Source organism: Homo sapiens, chromosome 12 (assembly GCF_000001405.40).
Source record: "Homo sapiens chromosome 12, GRCh38.p14 Primary Assembly".
Classification (NCBI taxonomy): Eukaryota; Metazoa; Chordata; class Mammalia; order Primates; family Hominidae; genus Homo; species Homo sapiens.
In genome coordinates this window covers 79,354,378-79,381,735 of record NC_000012.12, presented here as the reverse complement: position 1 = coordinate 79,381,735, position 27,358 = coordinate 79,354,378, and the positions used below count along the sequence as shown (strand labels likewise).

Here is a 27,358-nt window from a genome sequence, read left to right as displayed (position 1 = left end):
CTTGCTTCCACGCAATTTGTAGCTCAACCATGCTCCCTAACACTCACACAGCAGACCTGGAATTTCATCCAGGACTATCTAAATCTTTAGCCTGACAACAGGTGTAGGTATTATCTCGACAAAGACCTGAGTGATAAGCTCATTTTTCTCTACAGGTAAAAGTAGTACATTCAGGGCTTATTCTTGGCAGATGTTATTCTAACAGAAATTCAGAATTCAAATCCTTCAAACCCCCTGCTCTCCTGTGTCTAAGATGGGAAGTAAGTACACAGAGATGCCTCTTGCATTTCAATGAAGTGCTGTTAACTGGGCCTTGGCTTTTGTTGCTCTGTACTTTGTAACAGTGGTGGTCCTTTTATCTTTTTCAAGGGGATCTGATAACAATTATCTGATTCAACAGGAACTTGAGACAGTCTCAACTACAGAGTTTTACAAAGTTTAGGTGTACAGTTTTACCTTTGAAGAAAGAATGTGTTACTTTCAGGCAAGCAAGAGATGGATCTATAATCTTTCGAAAATGGAAATGGTTGTGTTTTAAAGTAGGAATCAGGGAATTCAGCATAATAATATAGTAGGCCATTCGTTGCCAATGTTTCAAGGAATAAAAACTACTAAATCCTAGGAGAAATTATGGTGGAGTAGCCAAAGGCATGGACTTCAGATTTCAGAGTCTCTAAGCCCTATCTGCAAATTGTTGATAATGACAGTATTACCTAGTTTTGTCGTAGGAATTAAATGAGGGAAAGATTGTCAAGTGTTTAGTATCACATATTGGTGCTAATTCTCTTTCCTGGGCTTGCACACTAGGACACAGGTTACACTCCTCTGTCTAAATTTGGAATCATACATATGGGGTTGCCATAGCTCAAGGAACCCCAGGAAACTCCTAGGGCTTCCAGGAAGGAAGAAGGCATGAATAGGTGTTTCTAGGAGGTGGAAGAATTGAGGGGAGGAGGACATTTTGCAAAGTCCACTTGGGGAATTGCAAGGGAAGCTTATTACAGTCCTTTTAAACAAGCCCTCTTCACTTTTAGGGAAGAACTTGTTTAGCTGGGCATGATGGCTCATGCCAGCAATCCCAGATACCTGGAAGGCTGAGGTGGAAGGATTGCTTGAGGCCAGGAGTTTGAGACCAGCCTGGGCAATATAGTGAGACCCCCATGTATTAAAAAAATTAGCAGAGCAGGGTGGTGTGTATCTGTAGTCCCGACTACTTGGGAGGCTGAGGCAAGAGGGGAGTTTCGAGGCTTCAGTGAGCTATGATCATGTAGCAGGCTACATCACCTAGGATGCAGCAGCCTGGGTGGCAGAGCAAAGTTCTGTCTCTAAAATAAATAAACAAAAAATTCTTCATCCCAGGCACAGCCAGATTTGCTGATTGTGAATAAGGTATAAATGGCAATGAATGTGCTTGAGGAACACACTCAAATTGCATCTTTGTCAGAGTCTCTCTAAACTCTGGGACTTGTTTTTCAGAGCATGCTAATTTGTTTCTGCAGTTAATATTTTCTCAAAATATCTAAATGACAGAAACTGCATTTTCTCTTATTTTTTGGTGGGGGTGGCAGTGGTGAAGAAATGTTGAAAGAAAAGCCAAGATTAGCTTTAAAATCTCTGGTTAATCTTCAAAAGAAATGGAATCTTTTTCAGTAAAATACGTCAATTCTAAAAGAAGGTTTCTAAAAATGTCAGATTGTTTCTGGAAAGGGGGTTTTAGAGCCACAAATCAGAAAAGATGACCCAAATGGAGTTAGAAGGCCTGGGTTAGATGATTGGTTCAGTTGCTTGCTCTCGGGTGTAACCTTCAGCAAATTATTTAATTTCCTTAGGCTTGTTTCCTCATCTTTTCAAGAAGGCAAATTAGTCGTAATAGTACATGTGAAGTATTAAGCACAGTAAGTAAACTCTCAGCAATATCTATAGTTTTTTATGCTCATAGTCTTTTATTTGGGTAATGAATTCCCTTAAATTACCTTATGGGTAATTTTAGTATCCTCTTAGTAAACATAGTTATCAAAGCTAGATTTCTATTGGATGATTGATTCTTCAGTATATAAACATATACACGATTACTACATGAAGAGGCAAAAGACAAAATGGAGATGTTTATTTGAAATCAAAGCTTTCAGGAGTTTGCTACTGAGCTTGGAAATAAAGATCTGAAGCAAATCCAAAAAGCTTGGCCTAAGTAGGACTTGCCATAAAATACCGGGAGGCTTCATGTGGATTTCGTGTATTATTGTGTAGCACAGACTGCTCTTTGAGATTTTAAAATGATTAACAAAAACCCGTATGTATTTTCAGGGTTCTCAGAGGACTCCTTGGAATGGTACACAGCTGGTACATTTTGGTAACCTTCAAAAAGGCCAATTTTCTTCATTCCTTGAATCATTACCCAGAAATATTTTCGACCGAGGTTTTAAAAAACGACAGGGTTTCAATTTGTGGCAGTCTTGTTAACCTAATTAAGTAATCAAGTGACTTGTTATTTCAAGCATATCCCATTGTTTTCCTCATATTTTGATTAACTTGCTAAAAAATTCTCTGTTGATATGTTTATTGGGTCTGAGGACTATTTACTAAACCATGCTCTCAGAACAGAAAATGAGGATGGAAATTCTCAAAAACATGATAGGAACACTAAAATGAAATGAATTTCTTTTCTCAGGAGGAAATTACTATGGAAGATTTTAGAGGGTAACACATCCCCAACTCCCACCCCTATTTTGAAAAGAAACACTTTGACCCAAAGTCTGTTTTCAAACATGTACTAATTTTTCTATCGATTTTGGAAGTCACTGTCACGTCTTCCATAAATTTCCTAAGTTCTGTATGCAAGTAACTGATAGAAAAACTTTCCTAATTTGGGCTGTAAATTCATCTAATGGCCATTTTTATTTATGACATTTAATGCTTCCCCAAGTAGGGTCCTTAGGTTGTTTCATTCCAGCCTGTTCCTCGGATTAATCACTACTGACCTAGATTCCAATCTTTATACTTTTGTTTTTGGCATGAGTTAGCAATTTAATGCTAGTGTCTCATCAGAAGCCTTTACCCCACTGGGGGTCATGTTTTGTTTCTTTTTATAGCCAATGAGGCTAGTAAATTGTGCTTTTGACCTTCACAAGTGGTTCTTGAATCAGAATAGTTTGAAAATCCCTGCCAAATCAGGAGCAAGATTTGTTTTTAATGAAGTCTGTGAGGCCACTAAACTAACCTCTCTTCAGTTGATTCTTTAAAAGCGATTTTCTTTACAAATTCATTTCTGTAAACTGGCTTCATGGGCTACGTAATCTAGCCTGTTTGGTAGTAAGAAGAATCAAAAAGGTTGTTTCCAGTGGACTGTTCTCTTTGAAATTTTAAGAGTTGTGTTTATGTGACACAGATTACATAACCACAATAGAAGATCCTTCAAAAGTTGGTCATATCTGTGATATTTCGGAAGGTTTCCAAATTTATCCTGGAAAAAGGCACACATCTGTAAACTGGGGTTGGATTGGAAGGATTGCATAAAGGAATCAAGACTTGAGCTTCTTCCAGTTAGTGAGGCAAAGATTTCTAATAGAAGAGAATTTGAATTTGATAATCTAGCAAGTGAATTAAAAATAAGGATGAGTGAAAACTCCATGGCTTATGGCCTGCATTTTATATAGTTAAGAGCTTTAAGAATTAGATAGTATGAGGAATAAGTGAGAAACACACTCTAGCTAACACCTTTTAAATGTATTGGGAGTGATAAATATGAGAAATTTGTCATGGTTGAGATAATGAAAAAGGGACTATTCCATGGCAGTTTGAAAAACTTAAGAAATAAGAATATAATTTTGGTGGACTAACTGCATATTAGACATCTCCATTTGTTGTCTTAATTGGTGTCATAGGCTTAATATGTCCCTAACCAAGCCCATGCTCTCCTCTCTTCCTGAACCTGGATTCTCCCTAGACCTGGACTAGGTCTTCCTGACCCTGGATATTCTCAATCTATAATTAGTACTAAATAATTCTAGAACAAAAGGGAGAAAGGGAAGCTAAGTTGTTTATACAACAAAGACAATATGGGCAAAGCCTGAATTTCCAAAAGCAACTCTGCCTGAAGTAAATGTGATTAGATTTCAGGATGCAGATATATTCTCTTGGAAAGCAGAAGGATAACAGAAACACCACACAGTGCTTCTTAAAATCTGTTTATAATTTAAATAGCCCTGAGAATTTTTATATTTTGTCCTGTCACTACAATTGCTAGAGCTTTTATCTAGGCCACAATTACCAACACATATAGAAGAAAAAAATAAATTGGTGGTTAAGATTTAAGCTATTTAGAAAATAAACACCTTAAAACACATGTTACCGTAATCCTAGAACTTTGGGAGGCCAAGGTAGGCGGATCACGAGGTCAGGAGATCGAGACCATCCTGGCTAAAACGGTGAAACCTCGTCTCTACTGAAAATACAAAAAATTAGCCGGGCATGGTGGCGGTAGCCTGCAGTCCCAGCTACTCGGGAGGCTGAGGCAGGAGAATGGTGTGAACCTGGGAGGCAGAGCTTGCAGTGAGCTGAGATTGCGCCACTGCACTCCAGCCTGGGCAATGGAGCGAGACTCTGTCTCAAAAAAACAAAACAAAACAAAAAAACAAAAAATGTTACATAAACATCTCTAAAAGGGAAGATTTAACAATACATGGCACACAGTAAGCATTCAATAGATACTTGTTGAACGAATGAATGAAATTGAACAATAAGGAGAAATATGAGCTAAAATTCAACATGGATTTTATTGCTTTCTTGTTTGCCCTAGAATAAGAGTTCTGGAAATCTAATGAATAGATAAGTCATATATTTACAATTTATAATGTGATATCGGGCAGTGAAATATAAAGGTATTTTGGCAATTTAGATAAGGAGGCATGCAGACGTTTGTAAATCATTAATGAAATGGGCCATTTACCCTACCTGTGAATTTAAGTTAAAAGTTAGCCTGAATTATGCATTGGAAAGATTTTGCTTCATTTCCAGCTCACTGCAATGTAAACTAGAAAATTGCCCATTTATGTCAGATGTGTGTGAACCAGAGCAACTCCATCTTAAATAGGAGCTGGGTAAAATGAGGCTGAAACCTACTGGGCTGCATTCCCAGACGGCTAAGGCATTCTAAGTAACAGGATGAGAAAGGAGGTCAGCATAAAATACAGGTCATAAAGACCTTGCTGATAAAACAGTTTGCAGTAAAGGAGCCAGCCAAACCCACCAAAACCAAAATGGCGCCGAGAGTGACCTCTGGTTGTCCTCACTGCTACACTCCCACCAGTACCATGACAGTTTACAAATGCCATGGCAACATCAGGAAGTTACCCTATATGGTCTAAAAAGGGGAGGCATGAATAATCCACCCTTTGTTCAGCATATCATCAAGAAATGACCATAAAAATGGGCAACCAGCAGCCCTCGGGACTGCTCTGTCTATGGAGTAGCCATTCTTTTATTCCTTTACTTTCTTAATAAACTTGCTTTCACTGTGCACTGCAGACTCGCCCTGAATTCCTCCTTGCACAAGATCCAAGAACCCTCTCTTGGGGTCTGGATTGGGACCCCTTTCCTGTAACATTTAGATTAAGAAAGTTTCTTGGAGGAAGTGCGTCTCAGTGGAAGAAGGAAAAGCCATGTGGCAAAATGAAGTGTAATGAGAACTTGCTCAAGAAAATAAACATTATGGATAAGATAGATGTATAGAAATGATTAATCATTTTTCTTTATGACTTTATTCCAAGTTTTAAATAAATGATACAACATATTTATCCTTGTAAGGCAAGAAGCAAGCATGGATAGTGATAGAACTACAAGGTGGGAGATGGTTGGCTTTATCATTGTGAGTTGATTTTTTTTTTCCATTTATTCATCAGGTACTTTTGAGTCAGGCGCCCTGCTAGGTACCTGGTTTATATGGATGATGACATGGCCCCACAATCTAGAGGGGGCATCAGTCAAATAACAAGTTAGCAATGAAATTTATATTACCAGTTGTGACACTATGAGCAATAAGTGAAGCAGACAGGTACAAGAATAGAGAATAACAAAGAGCAAGGTAGGGATTATCTTTGGTTTTCAGATGATGGAACTGATATTTGAAGAGGATAAGAAAATGATTTGAATTCAGATGCTTGGTGAGTGGCAGAACTGGGATCCTAATCATGTCAGTTTGATTCCACAGCCTGAGCTGGAATTAATGTTACAGTTTGCAGCACAAACTCCCTGCTTAAATCCCTGCAGTGGCTACTCACCACCTCTGGAACATAAAGTTCAACTTTCCTGACTGGGCTCTGCCTCTCTAACTTCATTTCTTAGCAGCTCCTCTACACTACACGATCTGTTTTGTACAACCAGGCCTTAGCTCTCACTGTCCTTTTGGCCTATCCCTTTGCCCTGCACAATCCCTCAACCCGGTTCTTGGTTTCTCCAGGAAGCGCCCACGAAATCTCCAGTGGAGGTTAAGTACTCTTCCTCTGAGCTCTTGTGAAATCCTGTTAATTAGCTCCCGGCAGGTTACTACCTGTGGACCAGATCTGGCTGCTGCATGTTTCTGTAGGTCGTAAGCTAAGAAAATGTTTACATTTTTAGAGTTGAAAAAAATAAAAAAGATTAATATTTCATGACATATAAAATTACATGAAATTTGCATATCAGTATCCATAAATAAAAAGTTTGATTAGAACACAGCTATGTCTACTCCTTACAGACTGTCTGTGGCTGCTTTTGTGTTGCAATAGAGTTGAATATTTAGTTGCGAGAGACCATGTGGCCTGCAAAGCCTAAAATATTTACTATCTGGTCCTTTACAAAAAAAGTTTGTTTACTCCTAATCTAAATCACACAGTATTTTAAAGTGGATCTCCCTGAGCTCGTTCCAAGCTCTTTGTAGGCAGGTATCACAAAATCCATCTCACTACCACCAGCTCTCCAGCTCCTCACTGTGGCACTTAGTAAGTAGGCATTTAATACATATTTGCTGAATATGTGATTCCATACTTTTGTCCACAGGGTAGTTCTTCAAATCCTTGTGAGCAGCCATCCTGCTACCCATCCAGTGTTTCCCTTTATAGGTGCAACATCCAGCCATTCCTATCCTTCTGGTGACATTGAATGTCCTGAAACTAATCTGGTTTAGTGCCTCTTTACATCATCTGTTTTTCTTTTTAAAACCCGGCATTATTTTTGAAAATTATGAAGAAATTACCATTTGTTAGAATGTGTACCCTTTTAAAATAAAAATTAGGTATCACATTAATAAATAACAATGATCTGTCCTTCTGGTTAATGAATAGTTGGTCTATAAAGACAAAACTTAATCAACATGATATCATCTTTTTCTCTTTGGTAAGAGAAAGGAAAGGAAAATGTATTTGCTGGCCGACTTTTGGTTTATAAACTTGAAACCTTTAGTTTCTCTGATCTCCAGTGTGGAAAAAATAAAGTAGAAATTCAAATATTTACTTCTGGCACCCCAGAAGAAAATACCAGAGTTTCTACTTTATTTTCTTCTTCTAAAAATAAAGGATTGGAAATTTACTGAGGTCTGATGTACAGTATCACAGAGGTGCCCCTGTTCTGGCATGATTCACACGCAGTACTCAAGGTTTCCTGAGGGTGGCATGGAAGCGCCACCGTGGGGTGGGGTGCCAGAGGGGCCTGCACTTTATTTGCTGTTAGCATTTTTCTATGTATTGCGCTTTATGTGAGCCCAGTTAAATTGGTTTATAGATTATGTTATTTAATTGTAACCAAACTACTCTTCACAAAATGAGCATGTTGCCTAAAATGAGTCCTGAACAACAACTGTGGCTTGAAGAAAACTTGATAATGCAAACACGAGTGAGAAATGAGAATATGACCCAGCTGGTACCTCTTCTTCAGCTGTGCTCTGTCAGTCATGCCTACAGGTAAAAATGATCATCTATTTCAGGTTAGAGAAGCTGGCTAAAAGCTTCTCTAAAAGTTTAAAAGTTTTAAGCTTTTAAAAGTTTTGATTTAAAAAAAATAAAAAACTTCAGTCGATGTGATATATTGACATATTTTCTGTAAATTCCAAACTAAGTTCATATTAAATATTATGAATATTGTGCATTTGTGAGGCATTTTTTTGATGTGACCATCTATAAAACTAAGTGTTGAAATAAATGGAATCTAATATTATGCTTGTGAATTGCTACATTACAAAGTTAAACAGATATCTTAAAGAAAAGTGAGGCATATTTATTATTAACAAATTAGTAATTATATTTTAAAGGGAGAATAACATTTTTATCATTCATAAAGCAAATTGTAAAATGTTTACTTTTGCTTTATCTTTTACATTTTTTGACTTTTAAGTTTATAATGTCCATTTTATATTACTATAGTGGTCTATATACACTTACAAACCTACAAGTAAATGTATAAAGAGGAATGTGCTCCCAAAGTTTTACTGATAGGTGAACATCATCAACATTAAAAGATGTCTGATCTCATCGGACAAACCTAAGCTAGTTAAGCACAAATTGTAGGAGAGGATATTCCTCTCTCCCCCAATCATTTTCATTTTTACAAAATGCTTATTTATCTGGTTTACCAATAATTACTTTTTTTGATGAAAAGAGATATAATTTTGAGAAAAGAATTGCCTATACTCCTAAATCAGAGTCTACATTTTTGGATGAGGGAAATATCTTGTCATTTCTCTCTTTCACAGCCTGATAGAATTTGTGATCATTTATGATTAATATTTTTGGTACTTACTTATTGTTGGTCTCCTTTTTGAGAAGTTAGGACCCAAAAGTGGAGAGATAATGTTCATGGTATTGACTGAATTTCAGGTGCCTAACACACAGCTGAACTCAGATGGGGTGCACAGTGCGTGCTGATGGACAACTATTTAGAAGCTAGAGATAAGAAGAGAGGGGAGGGATGAGGGGCTGTTGTGGGTATGGTTTCCTCTCCCTCTGAGATCACAGCAAACCATGGACCAAGAAGGTGACTTAGCCCTGGAAATGAAATTTTAGATCTACTTGTTGGGGAATCCTCCTGTATAATCAACAGCTTCAGTTCACTTTAAGCATCATTTGCTTGTTCAGAAATACTGTCAGCCTTCCGGAGTTTGGTCTACATTTCTCAGCCAATACACAGTGATTTAGACTGTGTCTACCCTTATGGCCTCAGCTTAAAGAACTAGCTGTAATATTGGGCCTAAAGGCTGCTGACCTTTCTATGGTAGTAACATAATGGGCAATCCTGAGTGTCCATCATAGGAATCACACAACAACATAGCTAGGCTGTGCTAATCAATTTTTCTACAAATTATAAATATAATCTGGATAACTTTATCCAACATAATAATGTCTTATAATCATTTCAGTTCATTTTGATTTGTTCTGATTGAATTTAATTCACTTTACTTCAATTCAGTTCATACTATATGTTAAACACTGGGGATTAAGTGAACTATTCGAGTTTTCATTTAATTTAATTTCTTCATGGGGGCCTACAATGTGCTAGGCGATGCTAGATGACGGTTATGCAAAAGTGAATTAAGTTGGTCTCCTTAAAGGAGTTCACAGAGAAAGAGCCACGAATACCTACAGTGTGTGATAAATCATGGGACGAGATAACTCCAGTGCACCATGGGAACACAGAAAAAGAAATAATGAGGGTGTTGGCAACCCTGATGATTAAACAATTCATTCTCATGAATGAGAAAAGGTATGTACAGAACACAGTTGAAGAAACACAACAGTCAGTGATCAAGTGAAAAAACGTGGACAGTATAAAGGTAAAGAAGAACAAAGATGGGTTTAGGATATGTGGGAAGTTTCCTGGAGGAGCAAATACTTAAACTGGCTCTTCCCCCTCCACCTGTTTTTCTGGACTACATTTTACCAAACTAAAAAAGGAGGGGCAGAAAAGAAAAAGGTAAGATGCTATGAAACTTTTTATCTCAAACCTCTGAGGCATGACTTCTGAAATGATTAAAAGTAAATTAAAACTGCCCAGGAAGTCACAGGCTGCATGTGAGTGTCTTCCCACCAGGAAGCCACAGCTCACTGTTTCACGGCCACTCTTTTTTGTATTATGTAAACTTGTAAACACTAACCTTCCTCTTTTTTATAGTCATTGAATAGAACACAAATTCCTTCTGGACATTATTTTCCAGCAGAAATAAGAAACACACTGAAGAAAATGAATAAAGAGCAATTGTTTCTTTAGCTCATTAGGGCATTTGCTGTTTATGAAGTCGCAGGGATTTGCATGTGTTGGCATTTGCAGGCACAGTTGGATAGCGTTACTTTGTCAAAATAATCTATAGAGAGTATTCATTGTGAGTCAACTGATGATCATTTTGCTGCTCAAGAGCATTCATTATCTTCTAGAGTTGAGGTTTCTATGATTTGGGGATTATGGCCAATTGAAATTACAGTGTGCACTGTCTAGGTGGGGGAAGCTGTGAGTAAGTGGGCAGGCTTAGGTAACAGATGCAGCTGGAGTGAGGAGCTGGGCCTTTGCCATTTCTTTACCTTGTGACCTTGAGCGAGTCTCTTTTCCAAACCTTAGTTTTCTCATTCATATATGGGGATAACCATACCTACCTCATGAGAGTATGAATAGGATTAAACAAGACGAAATTAGTAAATGCACAGCAGAGAAAGCACTGACTAGATTATAACTATAATTATTATTAGCAGTAGTAGTCTTTCATTCGTATTATCTTAAGGAAAAAATAAAATAATCACTTTTGGTGAGGATACATTTGTCTTTAATAGATGTGCTCTTCCATGGGCTGATGTTGTCTTTAGGCTGGGCATGATCTTTTAGAGTTTTAAAATGAAACTTTAGAAGATTGGAGGGATTTAATAGGTTAATTCCCTAACCTATGGCAGGTAGGTAGGGTACCATCCCTAACTCAGTATTTCTTTTATTTTTATTTTTTATTTTTATTATTATTATTTTTTGAGACGGAATATCGCTCTGTCGCCCAGGCTGGAGTGCAGTGGCGCGATCTCTGCTCACTGCAAGCTCCGCCTCCCGGGTTCACGCCATTCTCCTGTCTCAGCCTCCTGAGTAGCTGGGACTACAGGCGCCCGTCACCATGCCCGGCTAAATTTTTTGTATTTTTAGTAGAGAGGGGGTTTCACCGTTTTAGCCAGGATGGTCCCGATCTTCTGACCTCGTGATCCGCCCGCCTCAGCCTCCCAAAGTGCTGGGATTACAGGAGTGAGCCACCGCGCCCGGCCCTAACTCAGTATTTCTGATAAACTTTCCTCTAGCTTTTGTTTGGGAACTAAAATGGGAAGAACCAAGTATGGATTTCCATCACTTATACTCATGGATCCCAGTTCAGGTCTTTATAGTTAATAAGAGTAGGTTCAATTCTTTTCTCACATTTTTCAGACAGTTATGTCCTCTTTGAATTCTGTATTTTGCAGCTTAAACATCTCCAATTGCCTGAACTGTTCCTTAACTGAGACTGTATCTGCCCTCTGCATGACCCTGATTTCCTGCTGAATTTGCTTCAGAAAGTTAATGTCTCTCCTCTTAAGTGTGTTTTCAGAAATGAATGCAATATTCCAGATCTCTCAGCATAGAGTATAGGAACTCTGTTGCCGGAGACTCATTTTTGAAATAAATAATCTCGGTAATAAGATTTCACAGTTGTTTTACATTTAAGATTAAATCATTTTGAAATTTAAATGGAAAGTTAGAGAGGCAATGATAAGAACCACCCATATTAATAGCACACAGAAATAAAAAGAAATATCTTTTTGCTCACTGACCCACCCAAGATAAAAAAGATTCCATTCTTGTTATCTTGCTTGTAAGCAAATACTAAATTCTCATAGTTTGAATAACTAGTTCCTCTTGCAGCATGCAAGATGATTGGACTAATTTAGCTTTAAAAAACAAAATTTCAAGTGACAGTTACAAGAATCAAAATCTGCATGTGCTATAAAAGTATGAGGCCAAGTCAATTTTAAAAGATATATCTGCCTGTCTCAAAAAAAATAAAAAAAGATAAAGATACAGGTACATCTACATACTGTATGTAATTTGGCTTGAGAATAGTATCTTTCTCTTTAGCTTTGGGCTAAACTTACACATACTTTCAATTCTATTGTATTGAATCCTATTGTAGAAATACTAAACATATCTTTATTTAAAAAGAAAGCAGCCCTTAATCTCAATATGGATCAGGCTGAAATGTACCTCTTAAATTTATCTGACACTTTCTTTTTCTTTTCTTTTTGAGGCAGAGTCTCGCTTTGTCACCCAGTCTGGAGTGTGGCAGTATGAGTGATCATGGGCTTGAGCCTCCTGGGCTCAAGCAATCCTCCTGCCTCACCTTCCCATGTAATTAGGACTACAGGCATATGCCACCATGCCTGGCTAATAATTTTTGTAGAGACAGGGTTTCACTATGTTGCCCAGGCTGGTCTCAAACTCCTGGTTTCCAGCAATCCTCCTGCCTCAGCCTTCTAAAGTTCTGGGATTACAGGGATGAGCCACCATGCCCTGCCAGCTCTGACACTTTCATCTCCAGAGACTGAATATAGATAGGTTTCAGGTTTATAGCTTCATAGAGGATGTTTCCTAAGCAATTGGTTCAACCTCAGATCAGTCTTGCTAGTTGTTTGAGGGAGGCACAGTTCAACATGACTGATATGGGCAAATTTAGCAATTAGTAAAATGACAAATCAAAGTGTTATAAAAGTATCATCTCATTACCATTCAGGACATAGGCATGGGCAAGGACTTCATGTCTAAAACACCAAAAGCAATGGCAACAAAAGCCAAAATTGGCAAATGGGATCTAATTAAACTAAAGAGCTTCTGCACAGCAAAAGAAACTACCATCAGAGTGAACAGGCAACCTACAGAATGGGAGAAAATTTTTGCAACCTGCTCATCTGACAAAGGGCTAATATCCAGAATCTACAATGAACTCAAACAAATTTACAAGAAAAAAACAAACAACCCCATCAAAAAGTGGGCGAAGGACATGAACAGACACTTCTCAAAAGAAGACATTTATGCAGCCAAAAAACACATGAAAAAATGCTCACCATCACTGGCCGTCAGAGAAATGCAAATCAAAACCACAATGAGATACCATCTCACACCAGTTAGAATGGCAATCATTAAAAAGTCAGGAAACAACAGGTGCTGGAGAGGATGTGGAGAAATAGGAACACTTTTACACTGTTGGTGGGACTGTAAACTAGTTCAACCATTGTGGAAGTCAGTGTGGCAATTCCTCAGGGATCTAGAACTAGAAATACCATTTGACCCAGCCATCCCATTACTGGGTATATACCCAAAGGACTATAAATCATGCTGCTGTAAAGACACATGCACACGTATGTTTATTGAGGCACTATTCACAATAGCAAAGACTTGGAACCAATCCAAATGTCCAAAAATGATAGACTGGATTAAGAAAATGTGGCACATATACACCATGGAATACTATGCAGCCATAAAAAATGATGAGTTCATGTCCTTTGTAGGGACATGGATGAAATTGGAAGTCATCATTCTCAGTAAACTATTGCAAGGAAAAAAAATCAAACACCGCGTGTTCTCACTCATAGGTGGGAATTGAACAATGAGAACACATGGACACAGGAAGGGGAACATCACACTCTGGGGACTGTTGTGGGGTGGGGGGAGGGATAGCTTTAGGAGATATACCTAATGCTAAATGACGGGTTAATGGGTGCAGCACACCAGCATGGCACATGTATACATATGTAACTAACCTGCGCATTGTGCACATGTACCCTAAAACTTAAAGTATAATAATAATTTTTTTTTTTAAAAAAAGGTATCATCTCTGCTGTAGGACTAATAAGCAATATTTTTTTTTCACATTTCTTACCTAGGTTCTTAGTATATGTTTTAACTGAGCTACTTATCTGAGATTCTTAGTATATGCTTTAACTGAACTATTTATCCTACCGGCAAGTGGAGCAATTCATCTGATTTAAGGAGAAGGCAGACGTATAATCCAACCAGGTTTTTCTATTTTTTTTTTGAAATGCCAAGATGGGCACAGCCTGGAGATATGTTTAATATGGAAAATGAAATTTCATCGAGAGGAAAGCAAGCTGAAGAGAGTCAAAGGGTGTTTGGATGCAAGCATGTAGAAATTTACATGGGTAACTTTCTTGTTTTTAATGTTGACTACTTGTGGAGATTAAGAATTTGTAGAGACAGGTGAAAGATGAAACCTTGACCACTCAATTATGTAGCAATGAACAACAAATACTGACTCATATTGCATCAATTAGGTATTTATTACCTGGGGCAAAATTATTTGGAAAGACAACCAGGAGCTGCTCTGGGACCAGGTCCTGCCACTTCTAGTCAAATTAACATTGCAACAGCAGGTTCCAACTTGCGGTGGTTCATTTTAGAGAGAGGGAGAGTTTGTCCAGCAACCAGGCATTAACTTGATAATTAGGATGACAGAGGCTCTGTTCTTCCTCTTTGTCCCTACTTGTTGCCCAAATTAGCTGTGTCTGTCTTGGATCTGTTATCATAAAAGAAGTACTTGGAAGACAACTCGGTGTCTTAACTCAAATAAATAGCTTAACAAACTGAAGATCGTAGAAATATACTACTGGTCTGATTTCTTATAAAATATGCTGGGTCTTGTGGCCACAAGTTACAGGAGATGGGAGGAGGATTTGCTGTTAGCTTCAGGATGCCAACATAAGTTAGCCAAAGCAGTTAACTGCCATCCAAATAATGAAGAGGCATTCTTTGAACACACACACACACACACACACACACACACACACACACACACACACACACACAGTATTATTTATATCAGCCATATAGGAACACACATTCTCCTGGAGCCAGGATATGGTGACAAAAATTAAGAGTTAACCAAGAACTGTCTTTTGCTTAGAAATAACCAATATTTATATAGTGCTTTCTACCTGGAGCTTTCACCTAATGTTATCTCATTTGTTTATTCAACAATATGGCTGTCTCTAATACCCTAGTTTTATAGATGAACAGACTGAGGATCAGAAAGGTTAAAGGCTTCCGATCCAGGCTTTCCAGGGCCAGTTGCTGCTCCCTTTCTGCTGCGCCCTGCTGTCTCTCAGGAGAGGGCCTGTTTATGGCTGAGTTGCAACTCCACTGGAGGCCAAGGAGGCAGGGACAAATGCTGGCATTTTCAGATAGGTATTTATTATTAGGCTTTGCCTTGTAGTAACTGTTAAATCATGCCTTAGGCCTGCCTCTTGGCAAGGTCAGGGCACATATAAAGCATTTCTATAAAGTTAAATTCCTGATGGGAGGCTTTTAAGGTTTTTATATTTTAATGGAGTTATTAAAATGAAAGTTCAGACTTGCATAATTCATAAACATTCACTGCCTCTTTTAAAATCTCTTCTACTAAGCTATTTTTAAAAAATTTTGGTGAAATCCTTATAAACATAAAACACTAACATATCTTTCAGGTAAGATTAGAATAGATTCCTAATTACTGTAACTGGAGATATACTGTGATATATTATTGCCCTTTAGGCTAGTTTCATTTGCAATATTTTCACTACATTAAAGACAGTGCTGTAAAATGCAGGAGTGTTTTCTAGATACACGAATTGGCAACTTTTAGTAAAAGTAGCTTTCAGATGCTTAATTGTTTTTATAAAGTCTAGAAATTGGGAACTTCCCTTCAAAATGACTTTCATAGCGGTATGTATTTTTACTTTGACTTTTAGTGACTGTCACATATCTTTTCAAGTTGTTATCATAATAATGCTGCTGGATTGAGTGTTTTAATGGATTCAGACTCCTGCAAATATAGTTGATGAAAATATGAAAATCTACAAGCTAATGACCTGCTTTTTTTTTTTTTTTTCTGGTACTCTTTGCAATCAGTCTAGGCTGTCTTTTTAAGCAACACATTTTTAGATTTTGAACTTAGGGTAATTGCATCTTACTTTAAAATCCTTTCTTATTTAGATGCATAATGACATTGTATAAATGTAACATTTTACTTCTCAGCAACAGCAGCCAGTAGTAGAAGCAGCAGCAAGTAAATTTTAGGAACATTAATAAAATAGAGACTTTCTCCTATTGCTTTTCTTTCTCACTGATATGTAGAAACTCTTTGTATTACAGGGATATTAATACTTGATCTGTTTATGTGAGGCAAAGCTTTCTTTTCGTGTGTTACTCATCTTTCAAATTCATTTATGGCATTTATTTGGGAAGCATGACATCTTTACTATATTGTTCCCTATCCAAGAGCATGTTATTTTTCTATTTATTTAGGTCTCATTTGAAGTCTTTCAGTGAATTTATATAGTTTTTCTCATAGTTATATTTATAAGAGAATTACTAAATATACCATGATACATTCGAACAAAGGGATGCTATGCAACCACTAGATATGGCAGATCTATATGTTGGCCCAAAGGATCTCCATTATATATTGGTAGGTTAAAAATAATTACAGAATAATGTGTTTAAAATCCCATTTTGTAAAATGTATATATATTTGTATATATATGTATAGAATTGATATAAGCAGAAAGAAAACCTGGAAGGATATGAAATTTCAAATTATTTCCTTGAGTCAATTAACTCTGAGGAATGGGAAAGGATTAGAGGGGGCTGATTTGAGTTACTTTTTTACTTATGTATGAAAAGAAGTGGTGGGGTTGTGGATTAACTTTATTTCTTGAGCTTTCCTATAATTTTAAAACTAAAATTCTAGATAAATATTTAAACACAGGGCTATTTGTGAAAGCATTTGTTTCCTTAATAAGGATATGGAAGTTCATAATATTCTCTAAAAATGACAGCTGCGTCAGTAGATTACTGAGTAATCTTGCAGTTTCATATGTATATGTAGTATATGTAGTAATTCTGCAAGTGCACTATCACGAAATGTGCATTCGGCTCTTTTTGTTTGTTAACGGGACACTTTATTAGTTAATTACACTGTCATATTGTTGACTGAAATCAGTAGTTTGAAATCTATTAATTTCTTAATCATGTTGCTTTAGTTTTGGCTAAAAGCAGTTTCAGTGGTTCTGAGGATATAAAATAAATGCGCTTAATTCTTTTTTTAAGTTAAATAAAATCATTTATTTCTGAAAGAAAAAATTATAGGAAGCCTCCTAGTTGTCCAGTCATCATTGAAAATGATGTACCGCAAAATTTAGGCCATTAGTAATTTAAAAAGGCTGTCAGCCGGTATGGTCTTTTGACTTCCTTTGATAAGGAGTTAGTCTTTAAAACAGTGGACAAGTAAGATGCTGAATCATTGCCTTATCTGTTCATGCTGGGCAAAAGGTGACCAAGGGATCATTCTCTGTCTTTACTTTTTCCCTTGAAAATGCCTTTATGACTGTCGTTGAGGTATAACTACAGTAATGTGTGCATTTCTGTGTCACTCTCTTTTATCTCTTGGAGATAGTCTGTTTTTCTTTCGTTTAACCATTAAAGGGGGTGGGGAGGGGGGAAATGAAGGAAGGAAGTAAAATCTTCTGAAAATGATGGCTAAAATAACCAATTGGTTTTAAGAATTCCATTGTCTGGTTTTTATTTATGAGCCGATATTTCTATTATAATAGGATTACTACTATATGATGCCAAAATAATTGCATTAAGTGATGAAATTAAGTCAGATCATTTGGAAGATGAAGACAAAATAATCAGTTAGATTAGTGGAATTTAAAAATTTAAAACTGATTGTTTAGGCAGGGTATATTAAGGTCTGTTTCTTCAGCATATATGCTAGGGGCTCTGAGAACACAGACATAAGTAGACACAATCCCTGCTCTCAAAGTAGCTCATGGTGCAGCAAGTGGCAAGACTATGGTGAAAAGGGAACAAGAATGATATTTTTATAACTGAGATTAAGAATAAGGGATTAAGGAACCAAGTAGAAACAGTATATACTTTTGGAAGCAGAAGTGATTATAATAAAGTACAATTTTTTTTTTTTTTTGAGACAGGGACACGCTTTGTCACTCAGGCTGGAGTGCAGTGGCACAATCACAGCTCACTGCAGCCTTGACCTCCTGGGCTTGAGAGATCTTCTCACCTCAGCTTCCCATGTAGCTGGGACCACAGGTGTGCGCTACCATTCCTGGCTATTTTTTTTTTTTTTAATTTTTTTTGTAGAGATGGGGGTCCCACTATGCAGCTCAGGCTGATCTCAAACTCCTGGGCTCAAGCGAGCCTCCCACCTTGGCCTGCCCAAGTACTGGGATTACAGGTGTGAGCCACTGCACCTGGCCAGTACAGTTGTTTTTAAAAGACTGTCTTTGATGTTTCCATTTCTGAGCATTATTATAGTGTTTGAGACTCAAAACTTTGCATGCTTTTGTCACCTATTATAGGCTTTACTAACAGGAATCTTATACCTTTGTAAAAGGAAGGGGGAATAGCACCGACTTTTGCTACATGTTTCTAATAGTTTTATTAGAAACTCCCAAATATCTCCTGAAAGAACCCACTAAACATAATTTTTAAAAATAGGAATTTGTGGGGACTCTATTCCTCCCAGTGCAATTACCTATTAGAAATTCTGACCCTCCTTATTTTTTTTTCTGTATACTGAATGAAGAGAAGGGAATAGAAGTGGCCAACTGAAGGATGCAAATGTAAGCATTCTGGGTTGGATTAGTGAGATATGCAGCTGTGGGCTATTTATGGTTACCCATGGAAAGGCATGAGGGGTTCCTACAAGACAACACAAAGGTTTAGAGATGTCTCCTTGTAAGCCTATAACACAAAACAGACCTACACTTATCTCAGTCTTATATTTCAATCTGTTCCATTTCCTAGAGCAACACGTATTTACAACCCAAATGTAAAGTAGTAAAGAAAATTTGACAAAGAATTTTTGAGTAGAAAGGTGCCTTTGAGATCATCCTGAATAGCTATCCCTTTTATCTATTCTCTTTCAAACATCAAGGTGACTTCCTGATTCTAGTATTGTGGGATGTGATAAATAGGTAGGTATTACTCTAGCTCTACCTTTCATGATTTTCAGACTTTCATCATATCCTTTTCAGACCACAAAGTCCCGCTGTTCCTAGCCTGTCCTCACACACGGCCCCTTCATCCCTTTATTGTAGCTGCTTTCCTCCAGCAGATAGTCATCTAATACCACTGTCTTTTCTGAGGTGAACAACCAAAACTCTGTGTGTTGTACACATGAATGAGCTCTGGAATTGGACAAAGGTAGGAGATTTTCCCTCCCTTTTATTTATAAAATCTTCTGTGACAACATCAAGCCTTTTTTGGGGTAGCAAAAAAGACATGTTCACTTGGTGAATGTCTTCAATGGATGGTTCTATGTGACATTTTTCTTGATTTATAATTGATCCTATTACTCTATACTCTAAATTGGGTCACGTTTTCCTTTTAGTGTATTATTTTTTAGCTTGACCCAAATGAAGCACATCTACCACATTTTTTGGCTTACTCAGCTTAGCTAGATTTTTTAAATTTACCACTGAGCTTTGCATTTCAATGGCTGGAAACGTTTATCTTATCTTCAGAATTATGAGTTTTAAGGTGACTGGTGAAAGTGCCTTAGAACAGACCTCTTTGGAACTCCCTGTTTCTACTTCTTCATCTGTAGATTTCTCTTGTTAAAATTATCTAGCTGACATGTGTTTTCCTGGTAAGTTGTCTATTGCAATTCAAATTTCTTTAATTTTAGTATTTATATATGTAATTTTGACCCAAAGAGTCCCATAACAATTTACAAGGGTAGTAAGCTTTTGTACTCCTACATCATACTGCCCCTCTCCCAATAATATCACATACTCCTTTACAGAATTAGCCCTTGCTAAAATTTAGTTGTAGGTAAAATTTTTCTTTAATCTCTAAAAGGCACTCAAATCCCTTAAACTTGGACTCTCTTCTACCATGTTCGGCAACCTCTCTTCTGTACCACAGATACAGCTGAAATGTCACTGTTTTGTGTCTCATCTTCTTTTGTGTGTGAAGAATAAGTCACTAAAATAACATACCAATCTGTACATTAGGGAGAAACTGATACAGTCCTTTCCAGCATAAAAATCATCTATAACTATTCAATGTCTGGTGTTATGGACTTGTTGATCTCACCTTTGCTGTCTAAGTAGCTGAAGAACTAATTAAACAGTCAACCAACTGATTTATGTTAGTGAGTTCCATGATAGAATTTTAGCTTGAGTATAGAGGATATTTGGAATCAGGTCACTTTTGGACATCTTTCAAACTGCAGCATGTAGTTATCCACCTGTTCTCCAGGTTGAACCTGCTGAGCAATGATAAGGACCTAGACATCAGGTTTTATTCATTGGAGTCTGAAGACAGTCTGCTTGGGTTGACATCCTAGCTCTGTCAAATAGTAATCCTGTGACCTTGGGTAAGTTATGTACCTCTCTGTCCTTCAGTTCCATCATCAATAAAATCACATTAAAAATAGTATCTACCTCATAGGGTTGTACTGGGGATTAAATCAGTTAGCCATATGTAAAGCATTTAGAACAGTGTCTGGGCTCACATTCTGCTATGCAAGTGTCTGCTGTTTTTACTCATATTCTCAAGGACTGGCATGGTGCCTGGCACAGAGGAGTTTTCACATGATGTTTGTTGACTGATTGGATATATACCTGCTGGCTAAAGAATCTACTTAGGAGTTTTTGGGCTAACTCTTCTGAACAAATACATTACAGCCTATCACTTATTTCTCTTGATTTCACATCTGCTCATTTCTCTAAAACTTTTAGTCCTTCAGGCAGAGCATTTCTATCCATTCTGTGGATAACTGTGCCTGGGTCCCAACTTGTACCGGGCTTGGCTATAATCCTTTCTAATTACTCATTTTCTAGAATGATCCAGTTTCAAGACTTGTCATTTGTTTTTTAGACCAATCTGTTCATGTTTTACGAATTCAGATTATTTTATCAATATTGTAATTAAGCATTTTGAAGTATCCCAGAATTGATATTATATTGTAACATTCATGCCTAAAATTATGATGAAGCTTCTGACATCACAGCCAAATTATTATGCATATTCCTGTCCCATTAGCTCAATAAGATGCCAGTTTATTTGCATATTATTGCTTGACCCTGATATCATGGCCAATTAATTTGCATATCCCTGTCTAATTGGTTCAAATAAGTTTTTGCCATTTTATTTATTGGCCCGGCTCCCAGACTGGTGGCTTTTAGTTCACATCAATTGAATTTGGAGTGTTTTTCTTTGTTGTGCTTTCAGCACCAGTGGAAGGACAGATAAGGGTGGTAGTCAAGGGTACTAGGAAACAACTTCAGAATGTACAAAGGAAACATCTATTGCTTTTATTTCCTCTTTCAGTGGAGGAGACTCAAGAAAAAAAGATAATAATTTAGACATGTGGGCCAGGTATTTTTCAGGGAAGAGGATACTGGACTGATGAAAGAAATAGAACTTCTTATTTGAGGAAATTCCATTATATAAAGCAAAAGATGTATTCTATGTTACTGACCCAAAAAAAAAAAAATTCTAACTTGGAACTTGGCTGACCTAGGCCTCAGTTAAAATTATGACATAGCATTTTAAGCCTCTGAAGTGTAGTTTTCAAATTTAAGATGCATAAAAATAACATGGGTATGTGTGTATGGACGGGGAGGACCTGTTTAAAAGGCAATTTCCAGGTTCCCACCCCTAGATACTCAGTCACAGCTTGGTTTGAATTAGTCCTTGAAATCTTAGTTTTTAATAAGTACCCTAGGTGATTTTGATGGGGTTATGCAAAATATCACATGTTGATAAATATCGCCTGAGGGAATGACCTACCTCTGCTGGTTCATGGTTTCTCCTTGGAATCTAGTAGTTACCTGAGGTTGGGTGAGTTGCTCTTTCCTAAATGATCTCAAATATTTAAATCTGGCTGCATTTCCCAAATTACATTTCTAGGACAGTAGAAAAGGAGCTAGAGAAAAGACAAACCCATGATTAACATTTAAAAAATGGCATCTTCCAGAAAACAGAGTGTGTGTGGGTGGAGGGAGGGGGACAGGGTAAATTTTGCTCGCCTAGGTCACAGTAGCTAATCCACACACTGGCAGTGTGACATATAGTGATGGTGACTCCTTCATCACCACGAGTCCCCTGTTCCCTCTCTATCATTTCCCTCAAGTAATTGCTGCCACTTTCAAACATTTCATTTCCCTTTTCTTTTGGAGACTTAGAGATGTTTTGGAGGAACTCTCCTACAGCCCCAAATGTTGCTTTTCACAGTACAGGTTTCATTTCATAGTAACAAGGCAGGACTAGGGATGGCCAGGAAGAGGACTAGGGATGGGTCATAGAACACAGAGTGAAAGGGACAGAAAAATGATGAAGGAGAGCACTTTGCAACCATTGTTGACCTGATCCCACCTCCTAGCCACCTCCCTAGCTCCTTGATGTTCAGGAGGCTGCTGGAATAGCTACATGTGATTTCAGCCCTTTACCATATGGGTTTCCAGCTTGCCCCCATGCTTGACATACTTTTGTTATGTTCCCTACTCCTCCAATTTAGGTGAATGCAAACCACATCAAACGAGCAGAACTGCACACTTTTTACCCTTGTTGATTTGCCATGGCTACTAGCAGTACAAACACAGAAAAAAGTCTCAGAAGAATTAGGTGCTAGCTTCAGGGAATGAGGGAAGTAGAACATGTCTGTGAGATCACATTCTGTTTCATATTGGGCCAGGCAAGAAGAGGAATCTGCCAGAAACCACAAGTGAAGCAAGAAAATCAATTTGTGGTTCTGAGAAGGCAAGAAAGGGGGCACCCTGGAGCTATTTGACTAGGAGTATCCTTAAGGGTTTACAGTTACGAACATTTTCCCCAGTCTCCAAGAATCCCTCCATTTCCAACAATCCATGAAGACTCCATTTCTAGTCTTCCCTACTGTGACGACCTCATCTTGATGTTTCGGCTTTGGGCAGGGGAGGCACCTCACGCAGGTTAGAGCTGAGGAATCCTTGCTCTCCCATCTTGAAGGTAGGGGTGTGGGCAAGGCTGAATGCTATATTAGAAAGTCCTCTGCATTGAGAACTGGGGGGATCTGAACTTCAGTCCTACCCTCAAATCAGCTGAGATCAAATGTCAGTAGTGATAAGAGCAATTGCAAGTATTGAACACCCCCATCTATGTGCCACATGCAGGAAGATAGTTTATGGACATTGTCTAATGTCTCTAAGCTTCAATTTTCTCACTGGTAAAATCAGAATGCTATCTTCAGAAAGTATCTCACAGGGCTATCATGAGAACCACATGAGAAAACCAAGTTAAAAAATATTTCTAAATTAGAAAGTGTTCTATAACTGATAATGTGACTTTTTAACAGTTAAAAATAATTCTCAGATTGAAGTAGAAAAACAGAATTTCTACGGAATAGATCAAAATTTAAAAGCTATAATCACTTCAATTTTTGCTTATTTTAAAGTTTAGTGTTTCCTTCTTTAAACGGCCATGTCCTTAAATAGAAAACTTTCAGAATTTCATTTAATTTACAACAGAAAGCCTAAACTAAACTTACAGTGTTGACATTCCTCATTAAAGCTGTACTCAGACGTGTCAAATTTCTGAGATGACAAAAAACAAAACAAAACACCAAACTTGAGGAAAGTGATTGCTATGACACAAATAGGGACAAGTAGCAACGTATCTGATTAGTCTCTGACTTAGGAGTTTACACAGGTACAAATTTAAGAATAAAAGTTATATACTTTAGCTTAAAACTATGAGACACACAGCCTCATACCTTTGGGAAGCCTCAATGTTTCCAATGCCTTTACTTTGACCTCTTTATTCTCTTCCCCAATTTTCCCAAATAGAAAACATTTCTTATTTGAAGGAAGATTTACTCCACACAGAGATGTGTAAAAGGCAACGAAGCTATTGAGACATGTTTAAGAGGCAGAAGTCTTGATTGTCTCCACGTATAAGGCAAAAAGTCCTACACATGTTCTACAGCACCAACTTGCTCCTGAAGAACAGTCTTGCAGCCTGCAAGATTCAAGATCTCAATACAAATACAGTCATGCCCTGTGTAACCACATTTCAGTCAAGGATGGACTGCCTATAGAATGGTGGTCCCATAAGATTATAATACTGTATTTTTGTTGTACCTTCTCTATGTTTAGATACACAAATACAATTACCTACAGTATTCAGTATGGTAACATGTTGTATAGATTGGTAGCCTAGGAGCAATAAGCCATACCACATAGCTTAGGTGTGTAGCAGGCTGCACCATCTAGGTTTGTGTTTATGATATTTGTGCAATGATCAAATAACCTAATGATACATTTCTCAAAATGTATGCCTGTTGTTAATCAACACATGACTGCAGTTAAATTCAGAAATCCTCACTGTTGCTCACAAGCATTTGAAAGTTGGGATATTAAGAATGCAAATGCAAGGATCTACTGTAGAGATGTGCATAGTCCAATTAGGCTTGTCACTGTAAAGTATGAAGGGCTGAGATTTGCATTTTTTGCATGTGGATATACAATAGAGGCCAAATCTTTGTGCAATGCATTTTGAATGAATACTGCAGGAAGGAAATAACCTTGTTGGAGAGCAATAAGAAAATTATTTTACATATGTTTTCATGTTTTATTTTCTCAAATGTTTTGTTAATTATCTTAATTCACTATAGTGTCTATGCAAAATGTGGGCCTACTGATACGTTTGCCTGAATTAATCAGCTAATTCCATCAAACAATAAGATAAACTTTTTTTCCCCATTGAAGCAAGTAATTGGTTAAATCATCCATTGGTTGCTTTCCCATGTTGCATATTTATCCCAAGATTTGATAAAATTACTAATAGAAATGACTACAATAGTATTTAGTGAGTACTTAGTTGTGCCAGGCCCTGTGCTTTCATTTATTTCTCATAGCATCATCAACAAAGTCCTCTCATTATTCCCACTTTATAGATAATGCAGCTGAGGCTTAGAAGAGTTAAATAAATAACTTGTGCAATGTCAAATTGCTAGTTAGTGGCAGATGGAGTTTAAACTCTGGCAAAACAACCCACTTTGGTTCCAATTAACTAGTCATTTCCAGCAAATGTACTTTGGCATTTGAATTACCTGGAATGATCTTATTATATAATTTTGGTCTCCTCGTACATAGGTCAACTTACTTTGAGACAGACCATCCAAGTGCTTAAAGTTATTTTAATGGTAAGTGGGTTAGACACATTTGAAATGCAAGACTTGTTTTTTCAGGCCATAGCTCCTTTGTAAATAATTCATTATTCATTCAGCAGCTATGCTTAGTGCTACCCATCACTGAGAGCATTGTGGGAGGGATAAATACAGAACACAGTCTAGTGAGAGAGAAGCATGATGTTTGAGGGGTGTAAACAAATGGCTAATGGCATTTAAAAAAAGGCAAAGATTTGTTCTACTGGGATGGATCTTAAAACCATGAGGTCTTAAGACCTCATGAGTAGGTGGCATTTCAGCAACAACCTGGAAGAAGTGAAGAAGTGAGCCACGAGGTATCTGTTGTCTCTCCCAGACACCCCATGGCTGTTCTCTCTCCCAGAAGCCCCGTGGTTGTTCTCTCTCCCAGACGCGCCGTGGCTCAATTCATCACTTCTTCCAGGTTGTTGCGGAAATGCCACCTACTCAGAGGTCTTCTTTGAACCCCATTTAAGATGAATCCCCAATATTCCTTATCCTACTTCCTGCTTTACTGCTCCATAGCACCTGTTATCTCTTGGTAGACTCATGCTTTTGCTATCTGTTGGCTTCTTTTCTGTTTCCCTACATTAGAATGCAAGCTGCAGGAGGGGAGGGTCTTTTGCACTGTTTTATCCACAAATGTAAACCTAGTGCTCAGAACAATGTTGACTTAAAGTAGGGACACAATATATGTTTATTGAATGAATGGAGGAGATAATACTTAAGCTGGGCCTAAAGAATGGGTAGGAATTGGCTAGACATTGTTGGAAGGAAGAGAATTCCAGGTGAAGGAAACGACCTAAGCAAGTAATAGAGGCAGAAAGTTGTATAGTTTGTTTGCAAAAGAGTGTGTTGGTCAATTTGGTGAAAATGAGATATGGCATGACATAGGCTGGACATATCTACATTATGTAGACTCAAGTGATTAGAGTGATTATGGCTTAATTCTACAGGCAGTGAGAAGCCCTTAAAATTAGGGCTTTTCAGGATATTTACTCTTTAAATATTCTTACTTAATAATTAAACTCCTTCCAGGTAATTCAAATGTAGGGGTGAACCCAGGTTGTGAGGATCCTGAAGCTAATATGGTTTTGCTGGTTCTCTTCAGAAACAAAGAATATAAAATTATGAATACAAAATTAGGTATGACCTTTGGCCTTTCCTTATTCATTTCACAATGCTGAGTTAGTTAGTGCATTGCAGGTACCCTTCCTTCTTTGGGATAGCTAGCAATAACCTCACTATACATTATATGACTGTAAGCCCCATAAAAATAACCTGCTAGACCTAACTTCCCTTAGCCAAGTTCCAAAATGCCTGCAGCCAGCCTCTCTGATGCCACTGAACGAGAAGGGGACAGACGGTGGAGAAGTCCTAGTGGAAACAGACAGCAAACTGGGATGAACAACTCGTGGTTGAAATATCTCTCTATGATGATGGGAACTCATTTCTGGGACCCCGGAAGAAGCCAGGACAAATCCTATCTGCTGAAGCAGATAGGATGACTTAGGAAGACTAGCAGAGTACTAGACATAGGTTATGAGGGGATGGTTGGCATGGATATTTGGGACAAAGCATAAGAGACAGGATACAAAGAAATCATGTCATGATAGTTGGCTGTTGAACCAAAGGACAGGGAAATGTTAAAGGTGTCTGAAGTTACCTTAGGAAACTAAGTAATAATCTAGGAGGGAACTGTTATTGTAGTTAAAAATTTCTCTGCATGTTTTTCACTTATAGTCACATTAAATACTCTATACTTCTAGAGAACACTGTGCTCTTTGCTTCAAATTTGCTGTGTTACACTGCTAGGCACAATAAAAACAGCAAGTTATTAAATAGGGTCTTAATGACATGAAAGAATTAGTACAGCTTCCCCAGGTGACTTATTTATAAAGAGAAATACACTCAGGTACCAGGAGAATTTGGTCGACAAATTAGTGGGTAAGTGAGGGGAAGCTCAGCTGTAGCACTTTTTAGCTGTTATGCTTTAGAATAAAAAATCACCATGCTGCCTTAGGATGACCTTTTGAAGTTTGCAATATTTTTATTAAAGAAAGTGTTGAATAACCAGTAATGTTAGTTGTAATTCCACAGCCACAAACAATGACAACTGCAGTCAAT

General features: G+C 37.6%; 1 protein-coding gene across 16 annotated transcripts in view, besides 3 other annotated features; it reads right to left on the bottom strand.

Moving 5' to 3' along the window:
• SYT1 (synaptotagmin 1) overlaps nucleotides 1–27,358 on the bottom strand; it is a 588,027-nt gene that overhangs the window by 70,273 nt on the left and 490,396 nt on the right. The window lies entirely within an intron of this gene.
• Nucleotides 45–643: an enhancer, noted in NCBI's record as "OCT4-NANOG hESC enhancer chr12:79774873-79775471 (GRCh37/hg19 assembly coordinates)". NCBI's record gives its function as "activates a minimal SCP1, AML or CMV promoter by ChIP-STARR-seq in naive H9 embryonic stem cells {active_cell/tissue: H9 hESC(naive)}" and the evidence as "EXISTENCE:reporter gene assay evidence [ECO:0000049][PMID:30033119]".
• Nucleotides 11,420–11,620: a silencer, noted in NCBI's record as "peak1856 fragment used in MPRA reporter construct". NCBI's record gives its function as "represses an SCP1 promoter by STARR-seq MPRAs in K562 erythroleukemia cells {active_cell/tissue: K562}" and the evidence as "EXISTENCE:reporter gene assay evidence [ECO:0000049][PMID:32103011]".
• Nucleotides 17,280–17,480: a silencer, noted in NCBI's record as "peak1855 fragment used in MPRA reporter construct". NCBI's record gives its function as "represses an SCP1 promoter by STARR-seq MPRAs in K562 erythroleukemia cells {active_cell/tissue: K562}" and the evidence as "EXISTENCE:reporter gene assay evidence [ECO:0000049][PMID:32103011]".